Below are 26,425 nucleotides of genomic sequence, written 5' to 3' on the forward strand. Positions count from 1 at the left end.
ATGCTATCCCTCCCCCCTCCCCCCACCCTTTGTAGGGACATGGATGAAGCTGGAAACCATCATTCTCAGCAAACTATCACAAGGACAAAAAACAAATCACCACATGTTCTCACTCAAAGGTGGGAATTGAACAATGAGAACACTTGGACACAGGAAGGGGAACATCACACATCATTTTTTATTTTTAAAACAATGTATGCCTTTCTGGCTGTTAGGATCCATTTAGAAAATTTTTTCTTGCAATGCATTCTTAGAAGAATGGGCTAGGTGATTTTCCTAAAGTGAATATCTGAGTATCTTACATTCTGGTGATTTCTAAACTTCTTACCGGCCTGAAAGGTATTACAAGACCTAGACACTGTATTCCTCTCTAACTTCCTCTTGGAGCCACTCCTCTCTGTTCCAGTCATCCAAGGCTTCTCTATGCCCCACTAATGGACCAGGCTTACACACACTTTACATTTTAATTTTTATTTCAATAGATTTGGGGGTGCAGGTGGTTTTTGGTTACATGGATGAATTGTATAGTGAGGAAGTCTGAACTTTTAGTGTACCTATCATCTGAATAGTGTACCTGTACCCAGTAGATAATTCTTCAAATCTCACTCCTCCTTGCACCATTCCTCTGAGTCTCCAGTGTCTATTATACCACTCTGTATGGCCCTACATATCCATAGCTTAGCCCCAACTTATAAGTGAGAATATGCTGTATTTGGTTTTCTGTTCCTGAGTTACTTCACAAGATAGTGGCCTCCATTTCTATCCATGTTGTTGCAAAAGACATTATTTCATTCTTTTTTATGGATGAGTAGTATTCCATGGTGTATATGCCACATTTTCTTTATCTACTCATCGGTTGATGGACACTTAGATTCATTCCATATCTTTGCAATTTTGAATTGTGCTGTGATAAAAATATAAGTGCAGGTGTCTTTTTGACATAATGACTTAGTTTTCTTTGTGTAGATACCCAGTAGTGGGATTGCTGGATGGGATGGTAGATCTACTTTTAGATCTTTGAGAAATCTTCATACTGTTTTTCATACAGGTTGTACTAATTTACATTCCCACCAATAGTATATAAGTGTTCCTTTTTTTTTTTTAACCATATCTGTGTCAAAGTCTAATGTTTTTTGACTTTTTAGTAATGACCGTTCTGACTAGGGAAAGATGGTGTCTCGGTGTAGTTTTTTTTTTTTTTTTTGAGATGGAGTCTCACTCTGTCGCCCAGGCTGGAGTGCAGTGGCGCGATCTCTGCTCACTGCAAGCTCCACCTCACGGGTTCATGCCATTCTCCTGCCTCAGCCTCCCGAGTAGCTAGGACTACAGGCGCTCACCACCACACCTGGCTAATTTTTTGTATTTTTTTGGTAGAGACAGGGTTTCACCGTGTTAGCCAGGATGGTCTTGATCTCCTGACCTTGTGATCTCAGTGTAGTTTTAATTTGCATTTCCCTGATGGTTAGTGATGTTAAGCATTTTTTCATATATTTCTTGGCCATTTGTATATCTTCTTTTGAAAAATGTCTATTCATATTGTTTGCCCACTTTTTAATTGATTTTTTCTTTTTTCTTGCTGATTTGTTTGAGTTCCTTGTAGATTCTCTATATTAGTCCTTTTTCAGATGTATCATTTGTAAATATTTTTCCCAGATACCTGAGAGTATGTTTAACCAAAGAGGTGAAAGATCTCTACAAGAAGAACTCCAAAACACTGATGAAACAAATTGTAGATAACACAAACAAGTGGAAAAACATCTCATTCTCATGGATTAGATGAATCAATATTGTGAAAATGAACATACTACCCAAAGCAATCGACAGATTAAATGCAATTTCTATCAAAATACCACCATCATTTGTTCACAGAATTAGAAAAAACAATCCTAAAATTCATATGGAACCAAAAAGAGCCTGAATAGCCAAAGCAATTGTAAGCAAAAAGAACAAATCTGGAGGCATCGCATTACCTTCCTTCAATTTACAAGGCTATAGTAGCCCAAAGAGTATGGTACTGGTATAAAGCAGATACGTACACAAATTGAACAGAATAGAGAATCCAGAAATAAAGCCAATATCTATAAGCAATTGATCTTCTACAAAGCAGACCAAAACATACTGGGAAGAGGACACCCTATTCAGTAAATGGTGCTGGGACAATTGGAGAGGCACATGTAGAAGAATGAAACTGGATCCCTATCACTCACTATACAGAAATTAACTCAAGATGGATTAAAGACAAATATATGACCTGACCCCATAAAATACCCTAAAAATTCTAAAAGGAAACTTAGGAAAAACTCTTCAGGACAATGACCTACACCAATGATTTATGACTAAAACCCCAAAAGCAAATAAAAATAAATAAGTAGGACCAAATTAATCTAAAAAGCTTCTGCATAACAAAAGAAACAATCAATGGAGTAAAAGGACAACCTACAGAATGGGAGAAAATATTCACACCTACTTTAGATGAATTGCACCTGCTGTTTCCTATTTTGGGAATCTTTTTCCTTCTGATTTTCATATGGCTGCTGCTTATCATTCTTGACTCAGCCCAAATGACATCTTTAGAAAGACATTCTCGGCCCACCTAATGTAAAGTAGCTGTTTCCTGCAACTAATATGGTGTTTTTTTATGTCATTTATCAGTAGCTGAAATGATCTGTTCATTTGTTTATATATTTGTTTATTGTCTAGGTTAGGAAACTTTTCTTTCTTGTTCATTGTTCAGAACTTAGTACTATCCTAGTTGGTAAGCCCTCATAAGAGTTAATGAATAAGGAATACGTTAATTTTTATTACCAGAATTATGAGTTCAATATGGAAGATTTGGCGGAAAGACATAAAGAAAAACCAGGAAGGCTTTAACCTAGACATATACAAACATTTTGGTTATTTTAACATTATGTTACTTTAGTAAAATATTTGTTTTTATTTTTCTTAAAAAATAAGCAATGATTAAAAAAAAACCTCTATGATACTCCTTACCTGCAGATATGGCTCTAAAATATGACAAAATAGAAAATGGCACCTTTTTTTAACTTTAGGCTTAAATAATTTAAATAAGGCTAGATTAGAAGAAAGCCATGCAGAGCCTATGGAAACATAGTGTATGTGTAACAAAGAATTTGACCTTGCCAAAGAAAAGAGGTCTGTCCTTTGCCCTCGGTTTCTGAGAGGTAATCTGTGTCATACCTGATAGGAGTGTCTTTGTTTAGAATGGAGGCTGGCCACACTTAATAATCTTAGAGTAGAGGCTGACTAAGCCAGAAAGATCAATCATGTGATTTAGGATGGTGGCTTTGGGTCATGCAATATCAGTCAACTTGGAGGCTGAGATTAACCATGTAGTCAATCAATCAATCAGTCAATGATACCTGAGTAATGAAGCCTTATGAGAAACTCTGGACATTATAGCTCAGGCAAGCTTCCCTTTTTGGCAGTACTCCATCTATGTTGCCACACATCAATTCCAGGAGGGTAATAGGTCCTGGGTACAACAGAAGCTTACATTTGAATCCTTCCAGTTTCTACCCTATGTGTCTTTTCCCTTGGCTGGTATTTTATCTGTACCCTACCTCCATAATAAACCATAACCAAAAACATAGCTTTCAGCCAGTTCTGTGAGTCCTTTCAGTGAATGATTGCATTAGAGGGTGGTTTTGTGAATCCTGCAATCTTGCTGTTGGTGTCAAAAGCAAGGACAGTTTTGAGGACTGTGCTCTCAGACTTTGAGTTTGGCTATCTCTTGCTAGTATATCACCATGAGAAAGAAGATGTTGGTTGTCTTATAGATGTTAACATTTTAGACTTGAACGGCTTGCAGGTAATACCTATTCTAATATTTCATTTTATGGAAAAGCATGAAGGAGTTTATGATTTGCTTTAGTTCACAAGGCTGCTTTAGTGACTGGGTCAGAGTTAGAAATCAGGTTTATCAATCTCATTATTTTGGGTTTCCCACTATATACTGTGTTATTTGACACAAGAGTGACATAGTAAGTATCACTTGAGTACAAGTGATGTTTGTTTGTTTGTTTGTTTGTTTGTTTATTGAGACAGAGTCTCTGTCACCCAGGCTGGAGTGCAGTGGCATGATCTCAGCTCACTGCAACCTTTGCCCGCTGGGTTCAAGCGATTCTCCTGCCTCAGCCTCCTGAGTAGCTGGTATTACAGGTGCCTGACACTGTGCCCGGCTAAATTTTGTATTTTTAGTAGAGACGGGGTTTCACCATCTTAGCCAGGCTGGTCTTGAACTCCTGACCTCAGGAGATCCGCTTGCCTTGGCCTCCCAAAGTGCTGGAATTACAGGCGTGAGCCACCACGCCCGGCCCATTTGATGTTTATTTTTAAATATTATGATAATTTTTTTTTTTGAGACGAAGTCTCATTCTTGTCACCCAGGCTGGAGTGCAATGTCGTGATCTTGGCTCACTGCAACCTCCATCTCCTCGGTTCAACGGATTCTCCTGTCTCAGCCTCCAAAGTAGCTGGGATTACAGGTGCCTGCCACCACATTTGGCTAATTTTTGTATTTTTGGTAGAGACTGGGTTTCACCATTTTGGTCAGGCTGGTCTTGAACTCCTGACCTCAGGAGATCTGCCCGCCTTGGCCTCCCAAAGTGCTGGGAGTACAGGCGTGAACCACCTCACCTGGCCCTATGATAAATATTAACTTATAAATTAGTAAGATGTTTATCTCATAGTATTGTATATTCAAAGATAAACTTAGAATAAAACTTGTATCTTAATTACAGGAAAAATATCCATGCCACAAAAATGTCCATTTTTTAAGAACTACAACGATTTTTAACAAGAAGGTCTTAATTTTGCTTTGTGATTAACATTATGGCCACTGGTTTAACAAGTTAATGTATTAGGTTCTCTTTGGCTAACTCCAGCATATGATGAGATAATAACGTGATGGGAAATTCATACAATTTTCAGAATTATACACACTGACAGTTGTGAAAAATAAACATTTCCAGTGAGGCTGACATGACAACTTTAGGGAAAAAAAGCAAGCATTACTCGGAAATGCTAAGACAACTAAGCAAGTATAGGGCTATATAGCAAGTAAATGTCTTTAAACATTCCTCTGTATTACATATGAGTGCTTTTTCTGGATAATGTATTTTCATCAAAATAACCAACATATTATAAAAAATGATGCTTTAAAAAGGAAACTGCTGTTCTTCATCAAAATAGTTTGGAAACATGACATCTCATTTCCTGTAATTAAATGAGTTATTATTATCATTTAGTGACATCATAATGGGATATTATTAGGTAAATGAGATATTATTTTCTTTACATTATAGTGATACAACAGTAGAGACTCTGAAACCTCAAGAACTGATCAGATGGAGCACAAAGAGTGAGATAGTTATATTTCTCCAGACTTTTCTAGCAGGAAGTACAATAAATAGTCCGTATTTATTCCTTTGTAACTATCTTCTACTTAAGTGGACACAGCACATGGTGTGTCTGTTCTGTGAGTCCAGCACATGCTGAACATAAAAACAAGTATTTTTTAATTTCTAGTTTTTTTTTAATTAAAAGTATTATAGAGATGCAGTCTTGCTATGTTGCCCAGGCTGGTCTCCAACTCTTGGCCTTAAGCAATGCTCTCATAAAGGTAATTCTTTTGAGAAAAGCTTTTTAACTTGTCTGTCATTATCATGAGGCATTTTTAGCACCTATTATATGTATTGTAAAGAAAATCTGTCATATAATAAAATCTAGATATATTACCTTGTGTTTACTCTACCGGCATTTGAGAAAAGGGGATACACTCAGTAAAGGTGCAATGAAAGAAATTCAAATGACATTTTTAGAAGGCAGTATGTTTGGCTAAAGTCTGCAGGAATCAATTTTGCAGAGGTAGAGATAATGTAGGCATTTGAGTAACAAGGGATTTACTGTTTAGTGTTCTGTAGACACATACCATTTACATCTTTTTGTGTGTTGGGCAGTGAATATATACAAATGAGAACTGTATTTTTCATTTCTTAATTTCAACTTTTATTGAATATTCGGGGGTACATGCACAGGTTTGTTACATGGGTATCATGATGCTGAGGTCTGAGGTACAATAGATCCCATCACCCAGGTAGGTAGCATTGTACCCAGTGGTTAGGTTTTTCACCCTTCTGACCCTTTATCTCCCACATGCCAAGTAGTCCCCAGTGTCTATTGTTGCCATCTTTTTGACCAGTATTACCCAATGTTTATCTCCCACTTATAAGTTAGGATATGCTATATTTGGTTTTCTGTTCCTGATTTAAGTTGATAATGGCCTCCGCCTCCATCCATGTTGCTGCAAAAGACATGCTTTTGTCCTTTTTTATGGCTGTGTGGTATTCCATAGTGTATATGCACCACATTTTCTTTATCCAGTCCACCATTGATGGGGTCCTAGGATTATTCCATGTCTTTGCTATTGTGAATAGTGCTGCAATTAACATAGATACAAGTGTATATATCTTTTTGGTAGAATTATTTATTTTCTTTTTGATATATACCAGTAATGGGATTGCTGAGTTGAGTGGTAATTTCGTTTTAAGTTCTCTGAGAAATCTCCAAACTCTTTTCCATAGTGGCTCAACTAGTTTACATTCCCACCAACAATGTACAACTGTTCCTTTTTCTGTGCAGCCTTGCAAGGATCTCTTGTTTTTTGACTTTTTAATAGTGGCCCTTCTGGGCTGGGCATGGTGGCTCATGCCTGTAATCCCAGCACTTTGAGAGGCTGAGGCGGACAGATCACCTGAGGTCAGGAGTTCAAGACCAGCCTGGCCAACATGATGAAACTCCCCTCTACTAAAAATACAAAAAAAAAAAAAAAAAGGCTGAGCATGGTGGCATGTGCCTGTAATCCCAGCTACTCGGGAGGCTGAGGCAGGAGAATCTCTTGAACCTGGGAGGCGGAGGTTGCAGTGAGCCGAGATCGTGCCATTGCGCTCCAGCCTGGGCGACAGAGCAAGACTCTGTCTCAAAAAAAAAAAAAAGAAAAAAAAAGAAAAAGAAGTAGCCCTTTTGTTTGTAACACAAAGAAATGATAAATGTTTGAGGTGATGAATACCCCATTTAGCCTGATGTGATTATTACACATTGTAGGCTTGTATCAAAATATCTCATGTACCCTATATATATAAATATATGGGGGTATATATATATATATATATATATATATATATATATATATATACACACACACAGTGGGTAAATATATATATATATATATATATATATACTGTGTACTCATAAAATTAAAAATAAACAATTTAAAAACATCAATAGTAATAATAGCCATTTTAACTAGAGTGAGATCGTATGTCATTGTGGTTTTATATTTTACAAATGGGTAATGAGTAGTGTGTAGAACAAATTATAAATGAGAGTTGAGGAACTAGAATGGTGGCTGGCAGAAGTTTATGGGAACACAGATTAGAAGGTAATGAAGTACACTTTGTTACTGAAATATTCAATTCCTCTAGTACACAAAGAAGAATGAAGGTTAGAAATAATCACTTTTCCCAGATTTTTTTTATATGTGAAAGTTTTAAATATTTTAACTCTTATATTATTTTCCCCCTTACCATGTTTATCACCTGCCAAAGAACTACAGTATAATTGAGGTATTTTATTGAAGAGAAATGTTGCTTTCAGTGGAGTTGACTATTTTATAAAGAATATTTAAGTATTGCTTTATTGACCGTGATACAAACTCATGCAGTTAGGTTTAGAATCAAGGAGATGGTGTCTGTGATGTTAGTTCTACTTTGTCATGAGAGTAGAACCTCTATTATTTTTGTTTTTCTTCTCTAATATTTTAAGTGATAAAAAGAAAAAAGCATGAATTTTTAAACTAACAGCAGTCATTAAATTTTAACTTTGAAATAGGAAGTTTTCTACTTAAGTAATATATTTATACTCATCAGTTTTCTTTTTCTATTACTTAATAATAAAATTATATTTACTTTATTCCCATGCACACATTAAAATGAAAGTGTTCTGAGTTTAGTTTTAAATTTTGTATGGATTCAGATATTGGTTTAAATTCATATAAATTATGAATCCATATAAATATTAGCTTTTTCTAAACAGCAAAGTATTATAGCATAACTTTTAAGTTTTAGTATTTTAGTAGTGTGCTACTTGGAAAAATTAATATTGTAATTTACCTTTTCTCAGCATAAGAGGAAGAATGAAAAATTCTGGGCATACCTTTCAGAATCTCATTTTGCTAGATATTTCACATTTAAATACAAAAACACACAGCAATCCAAACTAAATATTCTCCTTTGCAAAAATGTATAATGACATCATATTATAATAAGGAATAACATAAGCTCTCTATTCATATTTGCAAAATATATGTTTTTGGACTTGTAATGGGACTTGCCTCCAGAGCAAGAATTCATAGAATTAAGACACATTTTTGAAAATATTCATGAAAGATGTATTTTGAGTTACTCAAAACCATAAGGTAAATCAATACTTAGCAAAGAACAAGTGAAAATACTTTGTGGCTGCTATGCTGAGAGTTTAAGGCAATTCTATCATAAGGATTGAGTATGCTTTCTTAACGCAATCCAGAAATCAGAGCCAAATAACTATCCTCAGAGCAGTAATTATATAATATTGCCAGGTTAATTGTCTTTTCAAAAAATAACAGTGAAATCACAGTATTAAAAATATATGCACTACTGGTGTATTGTTTTCTCTTCTCCACTGCATACGTAGTGTGTACAACTCAACTTTTACCAAACTGTATGTACCCAGTCTATTCCTATGTCTTGCTCTTGACTGTGTCAATGATGAAATCTTGTCACTTGTACATCTCTCATTTTTTTGCAATTTATAATTTATCTTCCTGGGATAATGTGATTTACTTAAGGACACTTACCTAATTAGTTTATCTCTTTTTTTCCCAAGTAAAAAGGCAAATGTAATTAATTGTAAGGTAAGTCTCAGAATGTTTGTGTTTAGACTGACACAGGGAAGTTTGACTGAGGATCTTCTACAATAACTATGTCACAAGTGTTTTAATAATAAAACTGTGTTTCCCTGTGAGTCACTCTGTAGAATCCTATGGTTGGAATAGTGGAGACGGAAATGTATATCTTGGCAGCACCTGATCGTAAGGTAGAATGACTAGAAGAATGCTGACTAGGCTGTAAACGTCTTATTAATTTAAATAATCCTCTCCATTTTTAGACCTCACAATGATTACAGCAGTTATACTATGTCAAGTAAATATAAAATAAAAAACCACTGAAGTCCAAAGCAGCATGTCAAATATTGCCCTTAGATATTTTAGGCCTGTTCTGATAGTTATTTGACTAAAATATAACAGTATAGATATGTGATTAATAACTTCTCTATGAGACATAATTAATGACTGTTTTAGTAATTTAAAAATATTAATAAAGAGATTCATGAAACTACTGGGTTGTTTGGGAACCGACTTTATACAATAGTTATATCTTCCTTTTTTTTTTTTTTTTTTTTTTGGGACAGGACCTTGCTCCATCGCCCATGCTGGAGTGCAGTGTGGCACAGTCATGACTCACTGCAGCCTCCAAGTCCTGGGCTCAAGCAGACTTCTTGCCTCAGCCCCCTGCGTAGCTGGACTGTAGGCATGCACCACCATACTTGGCTAATTAAAAAAAAAAATTGCAGAGAGGGGGGTCTCGCTGTTTTGCCCAGGATGGTCTTAAATTCCTGGCTTTAAGTGATCCTTGTGCCTCAGCCTCCCAAAGTGTTGGGATTACAGGTGTGAGCCACTATGCCCAGCTGAATGGTTACATCTTACTTTTTTTTTTTTTTTTCAATTCTGTAGCTTCAGAAATTCATTATTTCTGCCATTAGGAACAATGATCTGGAGAATTGATTCACACTAACCAAACATAAGGGGCTGATTTATAAATCATATTTGATTTACTTATGAAAGGCATTGCTATTTTTTTACTAGAATATAGTTATCTATAAGATATATGAGGAGAGACACCATGCCCTTTACATTCATTGTCATATCCCTAGAGCTTAGAAAATTAATTCTTGAATTACTTCACTAATAATTACTCAGTTTAGTCTTAATGCCTCTTGATATCAAGTCATTTGGGAGATTACATGAGTAGTCAGTATGGCTGAAAGATTTGTAAATGTCTCCTTTTGAAGAGAATACTTCATAACATTGTGTTTGGTTTAGTATGTAATTTACTAATCTTTTGACTTTTGTTAATAATTAGCATTTCCTTACAGTTAAACAAACTCTTCTAAAAATAGCTACATAAATCTTACATACCAATTAATTAGAACACGTATTACATAACATTTTTGATGGCCTTTATATATTTGTTTAAATTTTATATAAGTAAATTCTTTCCAGTGTGTAATTAAAATGCCCAGTGTAATATATCAATTTATCTTAAATGCTTTAACCACTTTAATGTTATTTATTTTATACATATATCTTTATTTTTTATGATTCTATGACATTTCATGTTATTAGTTGAAAAATAAAAATTCTGTTTTATGGATTCATGGTGTACAACATGATTTTGATATATGTGTACACTGTTGAATAAATCATATTTGTCTTCCTGGATAAATAACATAGCCATCACCTCACATATTTATCATTTTTGTGGTGAAAACATTTTACTTTCTCAGCAATTTTCAAGTATACAACACATTATTATTAATAATAGTCACCATGTTGTACAACAGATCTTCAGAACTTACTTCTCCTAACTGAGGCTTTGTACTTTTGTCCTTGATCTCCCTTTTCCACACATACCTCAGCCTCTGGTAAACACCATTCAACTTTCTGCTTCTCTGAGTTTGTTTGGCTGTTTAAGATTTCCACACCCATGTGAGATCATGTGGTATTTATGTTCTGTGCGTGACTTACTTCACTTAGTGTAATGTCCTCCATGTTCATCCATGTTGTTGTAAATGACACGATTTCCTACTTTTAGCCACTTTTAAAGGAGAAAATTGTACATGTTACAGTGATCCAAAAGCAAATCAGTATGCTTCCATTAAAACTGATTACAAATGTATTAATGCTAGGCATTTATATTTCTTTTCATCTTTTTCTTGTTTTTACATTTTGCAGATGTAGCATTTATATTTCTCTGGGATTTCAGAAATGTAAGACAAGTCCATTTTTTCACTTTCTTAGGCTTTAACCAAACTAAACCTACATGAAAGCCATCTCTTAAATGTTAAAATTCTGAGTTGTCAACTAGATGACTGTTTGGTCTAGTGATTGGAATTTGCTGTATATTCAGAGAAGCTTCAAACCCACCATACTGGCCATAATGTTGGAGTTTGCTTTTACAATTAAACTCTACTTGCTATGTGCTCTTATGTCTTTTTTTTTTTTTTAAGTTAAAGCCCACCTTTTAATTTTGTGTAATATGGGTGTCCTCTCACAAAATGATTTTCTTTTTAAATCCCATTTGCTTGTGTTATTTAACACTTTTCTTGTTCCTGCTATGTTAACATTATTAAAACCTTCATGCCTGTAATCCCAGCACTTTGGGAGGCCAAAGCGGCAGACATGAGGTCAGAAGTTCAAGACCAGCCTGGCCAACATGGTGAAACCCCGTCTCTACTAAAAATACAAAAAAAAAAAAAAAAGTAGCTGGGTGTGGTTGTGCATGCCTGTAATCCCAGCTACTCTGGAGGCTGAAGCAGGAGAATTGCTTAAACCCAGGGGGCAGAGGTTGCAGTGAGCCAAGATCGCACCCCTGCACTCCAGCCTAGGCAACAGAGAAAGACTCCATCTCGAAAAACAAAAACAAACAAACAAACAAAAACTCATGGACTTTCATTATTATTTCTTTATTATGTAGGGCTATCTAGTGATTTTATCTACCAGGAGATGAGAAACTATTTTTTCTTAGTTATCACTCTACTTCTACATTCTGCTAATTTATCAAATGTCTGAAATGCATAATTGCACCCTCTTATATTTGAGATATCATCATTAGTGTTAATCAATTGCTGGATTTCTTTTTTTACCTGATTCCTACATGTGACCATTGGTGCTAAACAGTTTTTTCTATTCCTAGTACAGTACTACTTTTGGTACTACTGGTTTACTTACAGATCCTTGGCTATACAGACAGAAGGAAATACATGACTACATTTTATAAACATAAGTATAATAAGAAAAACAAAATACCCATATATAAACTGTAAAACCAATATAAATTAACAATTTTCTACTCAATTTGTATTTTTTAAATTAGTAGTACCTTTTTATATCCTTCATTTTTTCTTTTCTAGAAAAAAGCTAACCTTCAACAGTCTCAAATTATTCTATTTAGTCATACTGATTACTTTTTTTTCATGCTCATATTGCCAGAGATTACCTAGGGAGAAGCCATCTAAGTTGCTTTCCTTATCTAGCTTTTGAAAACAGCCACTAATTTTTTTCTTAGGTGAATTTTGTTTTCTCGGCAACAAAATGATTGTCCCAGAAACATTGTTTTATGTCTTTCTTCTTTTCTTTCTTTCTTTCTTTCTTTTCCCTTTCTCTGATAAGTAAAGGACCTTGATTTTTATTAGCATTATTTATTAATAGATATTAGTCAGCAAGTATCCAGCTGCTAGGACTGACCAATATCAGTGCTAGCTGTCGGCAAAAGGACTGTTGCTGCTATTGGTGACTGTTGCTGCTATTGGTGTCTTTTAGGGAGAGATCTGGAAAAGATGTTTTTAGGTTTATGAATTCACCATTGATTATTTTCTGTAACATATCATGTTGCTGCATCTACTGTTATTTTATTATGAAGTTTCACCAGCTTCAAAGATTCTCCTCTACAGTAACAAGAAAGTTGCTTTGTAAGCACAATATCAAAGGAAGGCAATTTAGAATAAGTAGATTTAGGAAGCAATTCATCTAGACCAGTGGCAAATGGAACCCTGCTAGTCCAAGTGTCAAGTGTTACCTGCAAAAGGAAAATAAAATGAGAACAATGTCGTGAATTTTCCAAATTTAGTTTGTTCACTTTATTGGTGTTGCTGTCTTATGTGAAATGTTAGAATAGCAGTGGCAGAGATTTTAATATTTCCCTGTTCAAAAAATAAAATATTTTAAAATTTTATTTCAAATTGTGGGTGAATGTATTAACTGTCAGAATTCAAAAAAGGATTGAACAACCACCTTGAAAACATCATGTATGCCTCTGGATCTCAGGAACTGCTGGAAACAGGAACAACATGACCTACCTATGACATTTTTTAATTTTTCAAGTAGGCTTAGACTGGTCTTGACTACACAATTAAATCCATAGCCCCTGTGATGACAGTGTTTTGCATCTTGCAGTATGTATCACCAGACAGAGACTTTTTTTCATTTCTGGGATGGGGCTTTGGTCACCAAGTTTGGTTAAGATGTCCATCTTGGACCGTTCACCAAGGAGAAGGAGTTTGGCTCATATAAGAATCTGGTAGCTCCCTTTATAGCTAGATGGATTGGGTAGGGTGGTTCCAATTAAAAAGGAGGAATGCTGTGAAAATCTTTTTCTAGAAGTTTACAATGTCTAAGATGTCCTCACTTGGTATAATAAAAAATGGTAGTTATGTGCTTTGCATTCATTTATTTCCTTTGTTCTGTCCTTCACTGCTTTCTAAGTCTTGTTGGTTGTATTGGTTTGCCAGGGCTGCCATAACAAAATACTACAGACTGGGTGGCTTAAACAACAGAAATTTGTTTTCTCACAGTTCTGGAAGCTGGAAGTCCAAGATCAAGGTGATGGCAAGTTTGGTTTCTCCTGAGGCCTCTCTCCTTGGCTTGCAAATGACCTATCTTCCCTCCCTCTGTGAATTCACATGGTTCATCACATCTCTGTGTCTTCATCACTCTCTGTGTGTGCTGTCTGTGTCCTAATCTATTCTTATAAGAACACCAGTCCCATTGGAGTGCCCATCCATATGAGCTTGTTTAACCTTTATTGTCTCTTTCAGGGCTCTGTCTCCAAATGCAGTCATATTCTAAGGTACTGGGGGTTAGGATTTTTTATAAATTTTGGAAGGATACAATTAAATCCCATGAATTCAAAATCCAAGTGTAAAATTATTTACCCCAATTAGAAATTGGATAAATTAGTATCCTTTCACTATAAAATGTATTTTGACTAATATATTATTAACTACCAGGTTAAGAGTCTCTCATTTGGATAGTGTGTTTGATAAACACTCACATCAGTGTCTTCACAAAATTCTCCCTTTAAAAAGCTTTTCCTTTTCCACAACTTCAATTATGTTTTGTTGTTGTTGTTTTAATTTTCTGTTTTGCATTTTTAGTACGACAGCTTATCTTTTGCTGCCTATATTTTCTCATTTTTAAATGTATATAGATAAGTAGTTTATTCTTATTGGACTATCGCTGACACTGTATGGAACAGAGCTTCCAATAAACAAGTGATTTTATTTATAGTTTAAGTTATTCATTACCTTCGTTTGGAGAAAGAAGCACTTAGATTTGGGTATACTTATCACCTTTCAAACCATGGTATGTGCACTATTCATGGATCCCACGTGTTTTTAAAGTTTAATAATGTTTAATTTGAATTGTTAAAGAGGTTTATTTAAAAGCCCCAGTGTCCTTACTTTTAAACCCAAGGACTAAAGTGTTCACTGTCTATTTGAAAATATTATTAGCTTTCCGTAATGAATACTACTTTAACTACAAATTATGCTAACATTCGAATTAGCTGAAAAGTGACCTGAGATGGCATGCCACCATTTAGTATTTAGGCTGTTTTTTTGATGTCTTTGATGTTCTATTTTTCTGTACATTTGTTATTTCATTGTTAGTCTCTAATAAGTTCTTACTTTTCTTAATATACTTATCACCCATTTATATATATACAAATATACAAATCAGGACTTTATTCCTTCTTCAGCAATTCCTGCCTGTGCACTTCAGCACATTACCATCTCTTCTCAAGACTTCTCAGTGTAGCCTTCTAGTTTATTTTGCTATTTGCCCTCTTGAAAATAAAATAGGAAACATAATCTCAGCTCTGATATATTATGGTATAATGCAAGTCAATAATTAATTTTAATCGAATTAATATAGATTGTTTTCCTGCCCATTCTTCCTGATGTAAAACAAATAATTGGCAAATGGTAGCCAAATTTTCACTTCCAAGCATGGTCTAAATTAATATTTCACAGTTGTCACAATATACAAAATTTGTTTGAAAAACAATTCATTAAATGTGTTAGAAGAATGTTACCTACATTTGAAATATAAATATTAGAAAAAGTAACTGGAGTTTCATTTCACAGACTTCTATTTGAAAAATGTGTATATACTTTTTATGTGTTTGCAGTGAGCAAATTCCTTTTTAATATCACTAAAGAAGTTTTTATTCAAATAAACACTTACCTGTATTTCTCATATCAAGAAATCATTTCCTGACTTCTAATATCTTTCATATCTGCCCATATGTACTTCCATTTAATTATAAGTTACATAAATATCATTAAAAAAGAAAAAAAATGAATGTGCAGATAATTGGAAAAGTTAAGAGGTTTTAGAATAAGTCTTGGAATTTTTTATTGGACTGATAATTTTAAAGCCCATAGGTGTCAAATGATTTCTGAGACTCAGTTAAAACTTTTCATTCTGATTTGGAATTCATTTTTGCTTCACGGCTTCCACATATGAGTATTTCCTCATTTACTCAGTGTTTTGGTTTCTAATTGTTGGTTTTGATTTTTCTTCAGGATGTTTTGAATAATTTGGGATCTTGTGAACTGGATGAAGATGATCTAATGCTTGATCTTGAATTTTTAGAGGAACAGAGTCTTCACCCTTCTGGTAAGTGTTAAAGAGATGAATAATATCATACAACTCCTACCCTGGTCAGTAGCTTTCACTGATAGCCTAAACACTGTTAAGGCTGCCTTCTATCTTTTCAGGCCTCAGTTTTTATAGTCTATATGCAAAGAACATGCTAGGTACCATGGAGACATAATTTGGGTGCGTTAAATGATTTTAAAGCCTTTTATGGAAATATAAATCCTGTTGGAAGATAATTATAAATAAGAAAAACTATAAAAAAATCTTTCCAAAATAGGAAATATTCTAGTTAAATAATTAACAAAAAGTTTAATATTTTCTTCTGTTTTGTGGAAGAAAGCAATAATTATAATCTCACTTTTCATTTATTTTATATAACCAAATGGAAGTTTTGTGGATCTAAGATTTACTGCTCCAAATCTTAGCCACTTCCTACATAGGTTAATGTTGATGCAATAAGGTTGATCTCAAAAGTACTAATTACCAGTAGCAGTCACAAATGCACACTCATAAACATATACACACACATAGAGTTAGAGAGGAGGTAAATAAGTTTTTGTTGAATGACTTGAGGGAGCCTGATATATTTGTAATGGCTTAAATTTATATTAAAGCATAAAATATTATGTCTCCAAATTCCAGAATTACTCTCTTTAAAGTTGGTTATAGGAATTATTGGTCGTCCATTCAAATTTAGATATTTGACAGCAAAAGTAAACATTTACACTTAATTTTTTTGTTGCTAATAATGTCTTTAACATAGTCATTTTCAAGTGGATATAGCATTAAACTAAAGCTTTAGAACGTTGGGACCTACTGCATACATTTAAGAAAATCAGTCTCTTATATGGTAGTGTCTTTATTTTTAATTCGTGGAAATTAGACATAACCTCTGTAGTTATTTTTAGTTGTAAAACTTTATGATGAATTTTCATTTATGTAGTATATTTGGATAATAGATAATATCATATTATCAATTGTCAAAAGAAGGCAATAACAATGTTGATATTTTCTTACACTCTATTTTAGGCTAATACCAAACAAGAAACTGCATTTAAAATTTTTTCGGTTGAATACCACTTTATGATAAAAATTTCTTGGGACATTTTTCCTGTAGTTGATTTGACAGATATCCTTCTAAAAATGTAGATTTTCACACTTTTATGCAGATGGTTTTTACAACTTAGATCCAACAACTTAACTTCTAGATATCTAATTCTATGATACTGGCAAAAGACAAAATAGTACATGCATATAATTATTCACTGCAAAATATTTATAATGGAAAAATATTGGAAGCACCTGAAATGCTCATCAATAGGATACTTGTTGAATATACAATGGTTTACCGAACAGTCATTAAAAAGGAGGAGGACAGTATCCAAATCTGCTATGGCATTATTGTAAGGATATATTATTTGTTTTTGTTTTGTTTTGTTTGAAACAAGGTCTGGCTCTGTTGCCCAGGCTGGAGTCCAGTGGCGTGATCTCAGCTCACCACAACTTCCGCCTCCTGGGCTCAAGTAAATCTCCCATCTCAGCCTCCCAAGTAGCTGGGACTGCAAATGCATGCCACCACATCCAATTTTTGTATTTTAGTAGAGACAGGGTTTCACCATGTTGCCCAGGCTGGTCTTGAACTCTTAGGCTCAAAAGATCCACTTGCCTCCGTCTCCCAAAGTGCAGGGATTACAAGTTTGAGTCACCATGGCCACCCGATTGTAAGGATGTATTGTTGATAGAGAACTTTTCTTTTCAAGGATGGATTAGATAGGGAATACCAAAACCAAACCCACTGATCAATTCTCTAACATCACAAAAAGTGTAATGAATATATAGTTTGCCCCTCTTGATGCAATGCTGACTGAAGTACAACAGCACAACCTCTGAAGTGTTCGTGTCCTCTCACCCCTTCCTATCCCCGTCCCAGAAGAAATAATCCATTCAAATAGTTCAAACTTTGATTTTATAGGAATTATTGGAATGGGTGGAGGGAAAATGTTAAATGTCATAAAAAGATTGTGGGCAACCAAATATAGGATTTGGAGATTCTGCAAGATAAATGGTCTGGTTTCTTCAAAAGATAAATGGCATGATAAAATAGGAGGAGTTGGAGTTGTAGGTTAAAAGAGGCAAATGCAATTGACATTCTTGTTGGTATACTTATCTGAAATATATAAACTTTTTCTATAAAGTTGTTTCTGAGTTAATCAGAGAAATTAGAGGATTGACTGTTACTGCAGAATTATAGTTAATTTTATTGGGTGTTGAAATGGTATTTTGTTTTGTTTAGTTTTTTTCAGGAAAACTTTTTATAGAGATAAATGTGGTGGTACCAATATCGTATATAGGCTTTGCTTTACCAACAAGTATGAGTAAGGAAATAGATGAAACAAAGTAGACAAATTCTTAAAAATTGTCAAAGCCGGGCAAGAGTTGCATGGGGTGAAAAGTTCATGAATTAATTATAATATTCTCTCTATTTTGTATATTTTTTGAAGATTTTCATTGTAAAAAATAAAACAAAGCAACAATTAGAAAACACTACAGTTAACATAGCAGTCTCAATTATGTTTGGTAGTCAACCACAATGACGAGAAAATAATGATTTAAATATCTGAAGACTTATTTCAGTGTGTTTACTTGGGGACAAAATCAACCTCTTTAAACTTTAGTCTCTCCTTTACGAAGTAATAATGGTACTGTGTACTTCATTAATTTATTTTAAATAAAAATGAAATAATTTTTACAATGAATCTCTTGAGTCTACTTTAAGGTGTAGGTTGCTTAGTTAAAGCTCAAACCAGGGTACCTGATGAATCAACTGAGTCATATAAATTGTTCACAAGATAAATGGTATTAGTTTGCATACATGAAGTGCAATTCTAATAGATAAAATATTACTTAGAGTGACTTTGGATTGTTTAATGTCACTTAATAAACTGTCTTTTGAAAATCTATTTCATTTTAGATGCCATGTTGTGTGGTTTTTAAAAAGCAGCAAACACGTTTATATACTTTAGCTGAGAAAGAATTATTTCCAGTTGAATTGGTTTTATACAATTTATTTTATTTATTAAGCAACATAATTAAAGACCTCAGATTAGGCCGGGCGCGGTGGCTCACGCCTGTAATCCCAGCACTTTGGGAGGCTGAGGCGGGTGGATCACGAGGTCAGGAGATCGAGACCATCCCGGCTAAAACGGTGAAACCCCGTCTCTACTAAAAATACAAAAAATTAGCCGGGCGTAGTGGCGGGCGCCTGTAGTCCCAGCTACTTGGGAGGCTGAGGCAGGAGAATGGCGTGAACCCGGGAGGCGGAGCTTGCAGTGAGCCAAGATCCCGCCACTGCACTCCAGCCTGGGCGACAGAGCGAGACTCCGTCTCAAAAAAAAAAAAAAAAAAAAAAGAAAAAAGACCTCAGATTATAAGAAGCTTATGATTGATAATTGATATTGATAAAAATCACAGCATTAAACATTCAAAAATGATGTTTTTAATAAAAGAACAGCGATTTTCAAAAGTCTGAAAAGTGAAATAATGATATCATTATATTCCACTGCTTATATTACTGAAAATCATTAAAGGGGTTGAAAAAATACTTCTTAAAGACAATGCATATGAATTTTTGGCTACAGAGTCTTATTATGGTAGTTTATAGTAGGGCTTACTATAATGGCCAAGATTGACTTTTTAAAAGACCACAGAAGACAAGATTAAGATTGCAGATGGGAGGAAGGACTAGCTTGTAGCTCCTGCTTGGATGAACAGAGCAGGGTGTGGAGACTCACATCATGAACTTTTGCTCCAAGAACTACCGCAGGAACATACCAGGAAAGCCAAGAGAATCCACAGACCTTTGAAGGAATTGGATCACCGCCACAGGCTCCCTGAGATGGCAAAAAACTGTGAGTCTGCTTGCTTTCTCAATGGGAGGCTCGTGGTCCGGGGCAAGTTCTCAGTTCTGGTCACTGGCTGCTTGGAAAATAGACTCAGTGCTGTTGTGGGACACGATGGGAGTGAGATAGGCCCTTAAGACCGTGGGCTGCATGGGAGTGGGGTGAGGCATGTGACTGACAGCTTTCCCCAGCTTCCCTGGCAAATTATATGACTCAGCAGAGGCAGCCATAATCCCCCTGGGAATATAACTCCACTGGTCTGGGAACCACACCCCCATTCCCCACAAAAGTCACAGCAAGACCCGCTGCCCAAGGAGAGGCTGAGCTCAGAAATGCCTATCCCTACCCCCACCTGGTGGTCTTTCTCTACCCTCCCTGGTGGCCTAAGACAAAGGTTATAATCTCTTGGGTGTTCTATGGCCCTTCCCACGGCCTGAGAAACCTGAATACTTAACCAAGTGTCCCTAGGGCAAGTTTGCATCCTCTCTATAGAACTGCAGCTGATGCCTTCTTGAAAGTGTTACTTCCTGGCTGGAGGCTGACCAACACAAAACCAGTGCACTAAACAAAAACACAACCAAGGACCATCACAGAGTCCACTTCACTCCCCTGCTACCTCCACCAGAGCAGGTGCTAGTATCCAGGTCTGAAAGACCTGAACATGGATCTCATCACAGGACTCTGCAGGCTCAGCCCAGAACCAGCCCAGAGCCCAGTAGCTCTGCTGGTTGGCTAGACCTGGATGGGCAAAAACAATCACTGCAGTTCGGCTCTCAGGAAGTCCCATTCCTAGGGGAAGGGGGAGAGTACCACATCAAGGGAGCACTCTGTGGGACAAAAGAATCTGAATAGCAGTCCATGAGTCTCAGATCTTCCCTCTGACACAGTCTACTCAAATGAGAAGGAACCAGAGAAACAATTCTAGTAATATGAAAAAACAATATTCTTTAACGTTCCCAAAAGACCATACCAGCTCACCAGCAGTGGATCCAAACCAAAAGGAAATCTCTGAATTGCCGTAAAAAGAATTAGAAGGTCGATTATTAAGCTAATGAAGGAGGCACCAGAGAAAGGTGAAGTCCAACTTAAAGAAATAAAAAACATGATACAGGATATGAAAGGAAAAATCTTCAATGAAATAGATAGCATAAATAAAAAATAATCACAACTTCTGGAAATGAAGGACACACAGAAATGCAAAATGCCCTGGAAAGCTTCAGCAATAGAATCAAACAAGCAGAAGAAAGAACTTCAGAGCTCAAAGACAAGGCTTTCAAATTAACCCAATTCATTAAAGACAAAGAAAAAATAACTAAAAAATAAAAATAAATCCTCCAAGAAGTTTGGCACTGTGTTAAATGTCCAAACCTGTGAATAATTGGTGTTCCTGGGGCAGAAGAGATATCTAAAAGTTTGGAAAACGTATTTGATGGAATAACTGAGGAAAACTTCCCCAGCCTTGTTAGAGACCTATACATCTAAATTCAAGAAGCTCAAAGAACACCTTGGAAATTCATCACAAAAACATCATGACCTACGCACACAGTCATCAGGTTACCTAAAGTCAAGATGAATGAAATAATTTTAAGAGCTGTGAGGCAAAAGCATCAGGGAACTTATAAATGAAAACCTATCAGATTAACAGCAGATTTCTCAGCAGAAACCTTACAAGCTAGAAGGGATTGGGTTCTATTTTTAGCCTTCTTAAACAAAACAATTATCAGACAAGAATTTTGTTTCCAGCAAAACTAAGCTTCATAAATGAAGGAAAGATAAAGTCTTTTCCAGACAAATAAACACTGAAATAATTCGCCACTACCAAGCCAGCACTACAGGAACTGCCAAAAGGAGCTCTAAATCTTGAAACAAATTTTCAAAATACACCAAAAGAGAAACTCCTTAAAGCATAAATCTCACTGAACCTATATAACAGTAACAAAATGAAAAAAAAAAGTATGCAGGCAACAAATAGCATGATGAATAGAATAGTACCTCATGTCTCAATATTAACATTGAATGTAAATAGCCTAAATGCTCCACTGAAAAGAGACAGAATGGCAGAATGGGTAATAATTCACTAAACAAGTTTGTTCTGTTTTCAGGAAACTCACCTAACACGTAAGAATTCACATGAACTTAAGATAAAGGGGTGGAAAAAGATATTCCATGCAAATGGACAACAAAATTGAGCAGGAGTAGCTATTATTATACCAGACAAAGCAAACTTTAAAGCAACAGCAGTTAAAAAAGGCAAAGAGGGACACTATATAATGATAAGAGTAGTCCAATAGGAAAATATTGCAGTTCTAAATATATATGCACCTAACACTGGAGCTCCCAAATTTAGAAAACAATTACAATTAGACCTAAGAAATGAGATAGATGGCAACACAATAATGGTGGGGGACTTCAATACTTCACTGACAGCACTAGGCAGGTCATCAAGACAGAAAGTCAGCAAAGAAACAATGGACTTAACTATACCCTACAACAAATAGACTTAACAGATATTTACAGAACATTCTACCCAACAACTGCAGAATATATGTTGTATTCATCAGCACATGGAACGTTCTCCAAGACCATAAGACAGGCCACTAAACAAGTCTCAGTAAATTTAAGGAAATCGAAATTATATCAAATATTCCTTCAGAGCACAGTGGAATAAAATTGGAAATCAACTCCAAAAGGAATCTTCAAAACCATGCAAATACATGGAAATTAAATAACCTGCTTCTGCATGATCATTGGGTGACTAATAATATCAAGATGGAACTTAAAAAATTATTTGAACTGAATGATAATAGTGATAAAACCTATCAAAACCTCTGGGATATAGTAAAAGCAGTGCTAAGAGGAAAGTTCATAGAATTAAATGCCTACATCAAAAATTCTGAAATAGCACAAATGGGCAATCTAAGCTCACACCTCACGGAACTGGAGAAACAAGAACAAACCAAACACACACCCAGCAGAAGAAAATAAATAATGAAATTCAGAGCAGAACTAAATGAAACTGAAACAACAACAACAAAAAAGACAAAAGATAAGTGAATCAAAAAGCTTTTTCTTCGAAAAAAATAAATAAAATTGATAGACCATTAGCGAGATTAACCTAGAAAAGAAGAGAGAAAATCCAAATAATCTCAATTAGAAACAAAATGGGAGGCATTACAACTGATACCACAGAAATATAAAAGATTATTCAAAGCTACCATGAACACCTTTACACACATAAACTAGTGGAGATGGATAAATTCCTGGAAATATATGACCCTCGTAGATTAAACCAGGAGGATATAAAATCTCTGAACAGACCAATAATAAGCAGCAAGCTTGAAATGATAATTTAAAAACTGTCAACAAAAAAAGTTTAGGACCAGATGGATTCACAACTGAATTCTATCAGACATTCAAAGAAGAATTGGTCCCAATCCTGTTGACACTATTCTGAAAGATAGAGAAAGAGGGAATCCTCCTTAAATCATTCTATGAAGCCAGTATCACCCTGATACCAAAACCAGGGAAAGACATAACAAAAGAAAACTACAGACAAATATCCCTGATGAACATAGATGCAAAAATTCTCAGAAAAATACTAGCAAACTAAATCCAGCATCATATCAAAAAGATGATCCAGAGGTGGAGCCAAGATGGCCGAATAGGAACAGCTGCAGTCTACAGCTCCCAGCGTGAGCGACGCAGAAGACGGGTGATTTCTGCATTTCCAACTGAGGTACTGGGTTCATCTCACGGGGGAGTGCTGGACAGTGGGTGCAGGACAGTGGGTGTGGCGCACCCTACATGAGCCGAAGCAGGGTGAGGCATTACCTCACCTGGGAAGTGCAAGGGGTCAGGGAATTCCCTTTCCTAGTCAAAGAAAGGGGTGACAGACGGCATCTGGAAAATCGGGTCACTCCTACCCTAATACTGCACTTTTCCAACGGGCCTAACAAACGGCACACCAGGAGATTATATCCCGCGCATGGCTCAGAGGGTCCTACGTCCACGGAGCCTCACTCATTGCTAGCACAGCAGTCTAAGATCAAACTGCAAGGCAGCAGCAAGGCTGGGGGAGGGGCACCCGCCATTGCCCAGGCTTGAGTAGCTAAACAGAGCGGCTGGGAAGCTCGAACTAGGTAGAGTCCACCCAGCTCAAGGAGGCCTGCCTGCCTCTGTAGGCTCCACCTATGGGGGCAGGGCACAGACAAACAAAAGACAGCAATAACCTCTGCAGACTTAAATGTCCTTGTCTGACAGCTTTGAAGAGAGTAGTGATTCTCCCAGCACGCAGCTTGAGATCTGAGAATGGGCAGACTGCCTCCTCAAGTGGGTCCCTGACCCCCGAGTAGCCTAACTGGGAGGCATCCCCCAGTAGGGGAGGACTGACACCTCACACGGCCGGATACTCCTCTGAGACAAAACTTCCAGAGGAACGATTAAGCAGCAGCATTTGCGGTTCACCAATATCCACTGTTCTGCAGCCACCACTGCTGATACCGAGGCAAACAGGGTCTGGAGTGGACCTCCAGTAAACTCCAACAGATCTGCAGCTGAGTGTCCTGACTGCTAGAAGGAAAACTAACCAACAGAAAGGACATCCACACCAACAACCCATCTGTACGTCACCATCATCAAAGACCAAAGGTAGATAAAACCACAAAGATAGGGGAAAAATAGAACAGAAAAACCAGAAATCTAAAAATCAGAGCACCTCTCCTCCTCCAAAGGAATGCAGCTCCTCACCAGCAACGGAACAAAGCTGGACGGACAATGACTTTGATGAGTTGAGAGAAGAAGGCTTCAGAAGATCAAACTACTCCAAGCTAAAGGAGGAAGTTCGAACAAATGGCAAAGAAGTTAAAAACTGAAAACAAATTAGATGAATGGATAACTGGAATAACCAATGCAGAGAAGTCCTTAAAGGACCTCATGGAGCTGAAAACCACAGCAGGAGAACTACGTGATGAATGCACAAGCCTCAGTAACTGATGCGATCAACTGGAAGAAAGGGTATCAGTGATGGAAGACAAAATGAATGAAATAAAGTGAGAAGAGAAGTTTAGAGAAAAAAGAATAAAAAGAAACAAACAAAGCCTCCAAGAAATATGGGACTATGTGAAAAGACCAAATCTACATCTAATTGGTGTACCTGAAAGTGACAGGGAGAATGGAACCAAGTTGGAAAACACTCTGCAGGATATTATCCAGGACAACTTCCCCAATCTAGCAAGGCAGGCCAACATTCAAATTCAGGAAATACAGAGAACGCCACAAAGATAATCCTCGAGAAGAGCAACTCCAAGAAACATAATTGTCAGATTCACCAAAGTGGAAATGAAGGAAAAAATGTTAAGGGCAGCCAGAGAGAAAGGTCGGGTTACCCACAAAGGGAAGCCCATCAGACTAAAAGCTGATCTCTCGGCAGAAACTCTACAAGCCAGAAGAGAGTGGGGGCCAATATTCAACATTCTTAAAGAAAAGAATTTTCAACCCAGAATTTAATATCCAGCCAAACTAAGCTTCATAAGTGAAGGAGAAATAAAATCCTTTACATACAAGCAAATGCTGAGAGATTTTGTCACCACCAGACCTGCCCTAAAAGTGCTCCTGAAGGAAGCACTAAACATGGAAAGGAACAACTGGTACCAGCCACTGCAAAAACATGCTAAATTTTAAAGACCATCAAGGCTAGGAAGAAACTGCATCAACTAAAGAGCAAAATAAGCAGCTAACATCATAATGACAGGATCAAATTCACACATAACAATACTAACCTTAAATGTAAATGGGCTAAATGCTGCAATTAAAAGGCACAGACTAGCAAATCAGATAAAGAGTTAAGACCCATCTGTGTGCTGTATTCAGGAAACCCATCTCATGTGCAGAGACACACATAGGCTCAAAATAAAGGGATGGAGGAAGATCTACCAAGCAAATGGAAAACAAAAAAAGGCAGGGGTTGCAATCCTAGTCTCGGATAAAACAGACTTTAAACCAACAAAGATCAAAAGGGACAAAGAAGGCCATTACATAATGGTAAAGGGATCAATTCAACAAGAAGAGGTAATTATCCTAAATATGCATGCACCCATTACAGGAGCACCCAGATTCATAAAGCAAGTACTTAGTGACCTACAAAGAGACATAGATTCCCACACAATAATAATGGGAGACATTAACACCCCACTGTCAACATTAGACAGATCAATGAGACAGAAAGTTAGCAAGGATATCCAGCAATTGAACTCAGCTCTGCACCAAGTGGACCTAATAGTCATCTGCAGAACTCTCCACCCCAAATCAACAGAATATACATTCTTTTCAGCACCACACCACACCTATTCCAAAACTGACCACATAGTTGGAAGTAAAGCACTCCTCAGCAAATGTAAAAGAACAGAAAGTATAACAAACTGTCTCTCCGACCACAGTGCAATCCAACTAGAACTCAGCACTAAGAAACTCACTCAAAACCGCTCAAGTACATGGAAACTGAACAACCTGTTCTGAATGACTACTGGGTACATAATGAAATGAAGCAGAAATAAAGATGTTCTTTGAAACCAACGAGAACAAAGACACAACATACGAGCATCTCTGGGACACATTCAAAGCAGTGTGTAGAGGGAAATTTATAGCACTAAATGCCCACAAGAGAAAGCAGGAAATATCTAAAATTGACACC

The 26,425-nt window shown here is 36.2% G+C and overlaps 1 protein-coding gene across 35 annotated transcripts in view; it reads left to right on the top strand.

The window, feature by feature from the left end:
- CCSER1 (coiled-coil serine rich protein 1) overlaps positions 1 to 26,425 on the top strand; it is a 1,477,902-nt gene that overhangs the window by 256,880 nt on the left and 1,194,597 nt on the right. For 26 of the 35 annotated variants that reach the window (XR_001741218.2, XR_938733.3, XR_938734.3 and 23 more), the window contains exons 4-5: positions 15,763 to 15,856; positions 19,651 to 19,746. Coding sequence is in view for 30 of the 35 variants with exons in the window: in XM_011531936.2 (XP_011530238.1) it covers positions 15,763 to 15,856; positions 19,651 to 19,746 (190 nt within the window). In the remaining 5 variants the exon portion in view is untranslated. The remainder of the gene's footprint in view (positions 1 to 15,762; positions 15,857 to 19,650; positions 19,747 to 26,425) is intronic. The other 9 variants (XR_007057924.1, NM_001145065.2, XM_047415679.1 and 6 more) reach the window with 1 other exon arrangement.

This window comes from Homo sapiens, chromosome 4 (genome assembly GCF_000001405.40).
Source record: "Homo sapiens chromosome 4, GRCh38.p14 Primary Assembly".
Classification (NCBI taxonomy): domain Eukaryota; kingdom Metazoa; phylum Chordata; class Mammalia; order Primates; family Hominidae; genus Homo; species Homo sapiens.